Here is a 7,060-nt window from a genome sequence, read left to right as displayed (position 1 = left end):
CATTGAGCATAAAGATGCTAATCACATAACATCAATTTATATTCATATTTTCTCACACAATTATATTTTGGTTTGTTTATTTATACTGTTTTTGCAAAATGAATTTGGTAGTTTTCAAAGACAAAATAAAATATGTTTAAATCATTTCATTAGTCCGTTCTCACACTGCTATAAAGAACTACCTGAGACTGGGGCATTCATGAAGAAAAAAGGTTTAATTGACTCACAGTTCTGCAGGCTGTACAGGGAGCATAGCTGGGATGCTTCCAAAAACTTACCATCATAGAGGAAGGTGACAGGGAAGCAAGCATGTCTTACCATGGTGGAGCAGGAGAGAGAGAGAGAGCGAAGGGGGAAGTGCTACACACTTTCAAACAACTAGATCTCATGAGAACTCACTATCATGAGAATAGCAAGGGGAAAATCCACCCCCATAATGCAATCATCTCCCACCAGGTCCGTCTCACAACATTGGGAATTACAATTTGACATGAAATTTGGGTGAGGACACAGAGCCAAACTATATCAATCATTAACATCAAATAAAACACAGCAGTCAGATACTAACCCAAGGTTTAGGAAATTTGCAAACACTGATCAAAGAACTTTTCTCCCAGTTCCCATTAGTATGATGACATCATCAAAAAAAATTTGCAGAAGCATTTGAAGCACCAAATCTTTTGCCTGGTCCTAAGCTTTATGGAAATCTTTTTTTATTTTTCTTTTTTCTGTATTATTTCTTGCTCCCTCTCTTCTTTGGCATGCTTGATAGTTTCTCAGAAGCTTCTCAACAAAAGAGACTTTCCCTGATCTTTTGGGAACATTCCCATATTCTTCTTTAGGACCCTTCTCATTTTAATCAGTCTTTACAGCCTATGATAGACACTGCATATTTTCAGTCACATTCAGTATCTAATATTTTCAGTGGAAAGAGCCAAGCTTTGGGGTCATAGAGAATTGGGTTCTATTCTAAGTCTGCTTCCGAAAATAACTGTGTCCTTGGGTAAGGCACCTCCCTTCTGAGTGGGCTTCTTTACCCATAAAATGGAGTTAATGGTATCTTGAACTAGGAGTTCCGATAGGATAATATTTGTGGCAGGGAAATTAATGACCCTCACCCAAATATATCCATGTCCTAATCCCCAGAACTTGTAAAAACGTTAGGTTTCAAGGCAAAGGAGAATTAACGTTACAGATGGAATTGAGGTTGCTAATCAGTTGACCTTAAGACAGAAGATTACCCTGGATTGCCTGGGTGGGCCTAATGGAATGACAAGGGTCCTCGTAAGTGGAAGAGGGATACAGAACTGTCAGTGTCAGAGTGGTGCGATGTGAAAAAGACTGGACTGACCTTTACTGGCTCTAAAAATGGAAGGAAACCACGAAGCAATGAATACAGGTAGCCTCTAGAAACTGGAAAAGGCAAGGAAATAGATTCTGCCCTATAGCCTCCAGAAAGGAATGCATTCCTAACAACACCCTGAGTTTAGCCCACTTAAGCCCATTTTGCATTTCTAATGTCTAGGACCATAATATCATACTTCTGCATTGTTTTGAACCACTTCATTTATGGTAATTTGTTACAGAAGCAATAGGAAACTGGTAGGCAGAATAACGCCCATGCCCCAAAGGTGTCCACACATCAATACCGGGAACCTGTGGATATGTCAGCTTAGATGGCAAAAGGGACTTTGCAAATGTGATAATGTTGAGGATCTTAAGCAGGAGAAATTACTCTGTATTATTTGATGAACATATTGTTAACAGCAGGGATCCTCATAAAAGGGTGGCAGAAGGGTCAGAGTCGGAGAAGGAGATGCAACAATGGAAGCAGAAATCAGGGTGGTGTGGAGTCACGAGCCAAGAAACACATGCAGCTTTGAGAAGTTGGAAAAGGCAAGAGAACAGATTCCCCGTTAGAGCCTCCAGAAAGGAACACAGCCTCCCAACACCTTGATTTTAGCCCAGGGAGACCCATCTTGGACTTCTGACCTCCAGAACTGTAAAATAATAAATTCATGTTATTTTAAGGCAGTTTATAAGTTTATAAGTTTGTGAGTTTATAAATGTGCCAGTTTATAAGTTTATGACAATTTTTGATAATTTATTACAGCAACAGGAAACAATAAAATATATACTTCCCTTTCCATTTAAATATCACTCTTAACCTTCCTTGTTACATCAAGCTTGTTCATCTCTTCTCCCTTAGACCATTGAATTCTGCAATCTAAAATCTGCTCCACAAATATATACAAATATTATGTATCGATAGAAAACATTTTTTAAATAATAAAAAATAATAATTAACAAACCAGGGCTTAAAGAAGAAAACTGCTCTGACAGCTCTCTGAAATGCATTGCTCCCTGGGAGGTCAGCAAACCCCAGGGACCAGTCTCTCCTCACTGACAATCGAGTCATGGTTTTCACATCTGGAGCTGTGGGCTCTGCTCTTAATCATGTTTATTCTTTGAGGACTCCATCTTTATCTTTCTCTTTGCTCTCTTTGTTGCCTCAGACAAGTTCTGGAAAGAAGAAAGACTCTTAGTTATCAACAGATTATTTCTTGGCACAATTTTAATCCATTCTTTCTAAAGAGAATCCTTACCCTTTTTCCTCCCCACCTCCATGGACTCTGGAATGTGTGTATTAGGCAGTCTTTTGTCCCACTTGATCTCTTTCTTCCCTCGTCACCTTGAACTTAACGGATATGTTTCAGTGAATTTCTGATTTTCAATATCTGGTCTCATAGTTCTTCACCATCTTCCTCTCTTTTCTTCTGCTGTCATGCATATCTGTGTTTGTTCTTCAAAGGCATCAGCATTTCCTTTTATTCACTTGAAAGCTTCCTTTATAAATCACCCAAAAATTCCTCACTTATGATACATCAAGAAAAGAGACTACAGATTCCATGCTTTTGAGATTCACCATTTTAAATATTTATCTTTTTTCCTTTCTATTCCCAAAAGATTTTTGTAGGATTTCATAGAAAGAACTTCTTAGCTTTTGAGAAGGTGAAATGAATTATTGTATGATCAGAGATTACAGCGGCTTTCAAGTTATCTATCACAACCTTAATTGTTCATAAACAATAAAAATTCTACTGGCTGACTTGTCAGCAAGCAAATACAAATCAGCACTATCTAGTCCTTTATTATTATGAGCATTTTTAAAAAGATTTCAGTGTATGTCTTTTAAAATATTTTATATCCAACTTTCTTTTCCTACTTTGACATGCTCGTGAAATTCACCCCAGCAACAATCTTTTTGCTTGCATTGAAGTTCTCTGTATCATAAATCAAGTTTTCATTTATAAATATATATATTTATACACCTACATTTCTATTTTAAAAATACATAACATTAACTTTTTTCCTTTCCACATATCACCCTTTAACAAAACTTCTCAATAGCTTATATTCCAACTTGAGTACTGTTCACATTCAACAGTTTCTCACCATGAGCCATAAGCTTCTCTTTGACCAGCCACTATCAGTCCAGGCATTTCATAAGCAAAAATTTCCCCCTTTTACATGAATTCATGTATCTTTCATAATAATTATTTGCAACTGTTGAAGGAATAGAGGGTCTACAGGTATTTTACAACCAAATAAACTACATTCATCAATATTTGATTATTGACCACCATCTCTGGGCTAGGCAAAGCGCTCGTGTTAGGGATAAAATAGTAAGCAAAAAACAGCATCCCTGTCCTCATGCAACTTACAATCTAAGTTTATAAAATCAAGATATACTTATTTCAGCTTGTTTTCTCATGTGTAAAGCAGGAATTGAAGATATGGAAAATAAAATGCTTAGAATATAATGCTTGGTACAAACTGGATGTTCAATTAATATCTACAACAATGACAGTGATAATAACCATTATGACTATTATGGTGAAGAAAATTATTGGTCTCTTACTTCACAGGCTATGGCTGTAACCCCAAAGCCTTTATACTATCAGCTCCATGATGCTTTTTGGAGTAGCAAAAAAAAGCTTACACAGTTCTGCTACTGTATTGCTTCCATGAGAGCTTAAGTCCCAGGATTAGATGGGTATGGATTCAAACCCTGACTCCATCCCTGAATGTGTGATTTTAAGTCTGATTTTAAACAAGTTACTAATTTTTGAGCTTTATTTTCCTCATCTATAAAATGTGTATGAGAGTTTCCATCCCATAGGGTTTTTGTGAAGGTTAAATATGAAAATAAATACAATGCATTCAGCAGAGTACTTTGGATCTAGTAAAGTGCTTAATAAACAATTAGTCAAAAATAACATTCTTAACTCTTAATTCTAGTCTTCCAGGAACCTGGGGCCTCCAGGATGGGAAATACTACCAGAAAGGGCCATTAAAGAGGTGAATGCTTTTGTTTGTTTGTTCTTTAGGTGTGTGAATTGAAAGCAATTTTGAAGCAAACAGATATTTTGGAGGGATTAATTTGGAGGCATTCTTCAGAATAAACTAGGAGTACAAGACACAAGAGAGCAGTAAGAAAGCTATTCACATATAGAGATCTAAAGGGTCTAAATTGATGAGTTCAATATTCCTTTAGTCAAATTGCTTGATTGTATACAGTACAGTACTTCAGGACATTCTTTGAGTTTCTTTTCTCATGGTTTGCCTTTTTTTGTTTGTTTTTTGACACAGGGTCTTGCTCTGTCACCTAAGCTAGACCAGGCTAGAGGGCAGTAGTACCATCACTGCTCACTGCAGCCTCAACCTCCTGAGCTCAAGTGATTCTCCCATATCAGTTCCACAAGTAACTAGGACTATAGGCACATGCCACCATGCCTGGTTATTTTTGTATTTTTTTGTAGACACAGGGTTTAACTGTGTCACATAGGCTGGTCTCATGGTCTCGAACTCCTGATTTCAAGCAATCCACCCACCTCAGCCTCGCAAAGTACTAGGATTACAGGCCACCACACCCGGCCTCTCATGGCTTTCTTGATTCTACACCTTACCCATACAGGCAGGTCAAAACTCAATAAAAATGAATTGTAACCTCGCTTTCTTGTCATCAATAGTCCTGGTCCTTCTTACTTGTACCTTCAACTACTTTGTTCTTCTATCACTTGTGTAGTTCCTGTGTCTACGGTTATCTAATCTGTTTAACATAGACTTTGGAGCCAAGCAGTTTCCCAAAGCCAGGCAAAAGATGCAACTCAATCATCAATGTCAAGAGGCCAAGCTGAGCAAGAGATCCCAGGTACCAGGAAACAGGCCAAGAATCTGAGAAACCAGACATTTATTTGTTGCTCCATGATCCATCTAACTGATGTAACAAAGAACCTATACAGCTCCATAGGGTGAATTAGGATCTGGGTGTGCAATGCTCTGCAAATAGGCATGGCTTTGTGCAGCCTACACACTATGGGAGAGGCAGGCACCAATAAAATCATTGTAAAACCGGGTAAGTGTTACACAGGCAGTGTCCCCCAGGGCTGTAAAAGGAGGATTTGACCTGGTCAGGGAGGTCACAAAAGATTTCCCTGAGTAAGGGACGACTGAATTGAGAAGGATCATTGACTAGTGTTGAAATAGAGGGCAACCTAGGTGGTATCTGGAGTAGTTTCCCAAGTCCCAGGTGCCTCTTATAGGACCTGGTGGAAGATTTGGTTGAAGGTGTGATTGGAAGTATCTAGAGCCCTTAGATGCTCTATATCTTTAAATCTGAATTCTCTTGACTTTGTTTGCTCTTCTTCCCTTAGACTTCTACTTCCTGGAATAGCAAACCAGGACTTGTCCTGACTGTGGCCTTTCCAAATCTTGGTGGCTTTGAGAAGACACCAAACAAGGAACAAGGACAGTGAACCCAGCTCCATGTATCTAGATCTCACCCCAGCAGTGATCTGTCTGTGCAGATATTCTCTCTACCTGGCTTAGCCCTTGCGTGGAAGGGATTGTACACATTTGCTTTTGATCCATCTCTTGTAACTCTTCCACTTATCTCACACTCCTCTCCTATGTTTTCACTGTGAGACTTGGGTAAGGTCTGTACTTCATTGATATCCCTTAGGTATTGTCTCTTCTAATATTCTCTTTAGTTGTGAGCAGATCCCCTACTCTACTGACTCATGCTAAAGAATGAGCAGCAAACAGAGACCGAGTCTATTTGAAACCCATGGGCATTGAGATGCATGATCATCTCTCTCCGATGTGCTGTCTGGCAACTAGGCAAGAACAGCAAGCAACCACAAACTGAAAATAGTTAGTGTTCCTTTTACCCGGGAATAAACAGAGCCTCCCTATCTTCTCTTGTTAATGCTTACATCTGCAGCTGTCAGTGAACATCCCCCAATGCCTTGCTGAACATGAGAGGAGAGGAACGTCTCGGGGTTTGGCTTAATCTCATAATTTTGTTCCTCCTGCCCTTATTCCTTCACCATCAGATTATGAGTGTCCCCATTACTACTCTTCTCCCTCTTCCTAAGTTACAGCACCTGTGGCTGCTTCCTCTCCCCCATCTCCTTACCAGGGCTCCAGCTGTTCTTTTCACGTTCACCACTCACCTGTACTGATAAACCCTCTTCATCCACACAGCACCCTAGAGAAGGGAGAAGGGAAGGTACCAACACATAGGGGTGCCACGTGGCCAACCCAAGACTTTTTGGCAAGTCAGTAGCAGAGCTGGGACTAGATTAGAATGTTGGTCTTCTCAATCGTGGCTCTATGCTCTTTCTACTAAATCATGGTGTTGTTTTTGTTTGTTTGGTTCTCAAATAGGATATTTTAGACAACAAAAATATGCTGGATATGTTCCATTTTCCTGTCTGAAAGGTTCTCGCCCCCCGCCCCGGGACTATGTGCAGCCTCCACATTTGTTCTTGTCTTTTGGCTTCCTGTTAGGTTCGGCCAATGGGAAGCCCTGGAAGGAGAAAAAAGGGTGGGAAGATAACGAGATAGGGTAGCCGTATCCCTGCTCCCTTGTTGCTGGACTAGGGGTTTTAGTCACTGTGTTCCTCCACCCAAGCCTTCGGTTCCTATTCAGTGTCTCTCTCCTACACCTTTCTTTGTACTCACATAACCACTCTCTCCCCTTACCCCATCAGAT

The 7,060-nt window shown here is 39.7% G+C and overlaps 1 long non-coding RNA gene across 2 annotated transcripts in view; it reads right to left on the bottom strand.

Annotated features, from left to right (window-relative positions):
* Positions 1-2,083: 2,083 nt before the first annotated feature.
* The window catches only part of LOC101927389 (uncharacterized), a 35,673-nt gene continuing 30,696 nt past the window's right edge, over positions 2,084-7,060 (bottom strand). For both annotated transcript variants that reach the window (XR_243722.5, XR_934870.3), the window contains one exon: positions 2,084-2,523. This is a non-coding gene — a long non-coding RNA (uncharacterized LOC101927389). The remainder of the gene's footprint in view (positions 2,524-7,060) is intronic.

This window comes from Homo sapiens, chromosome 17 (genome assembly GCF_000001405.40).
Source record: "Homo sapiens chromosome 17, GRCh38.p14 Primary Assembly".
Classification (NCBI taxonomy): domain Eukaryota; kingdom Metazoa; phylum Chordata; class Mammalia; order Primates; family Hominidae; genus Homo; species Homo sapiens.
Note: the sequence above shows the minus strand (reverse complement) of the source record. Positions and strands in the feature narration are given on the sequence as shown.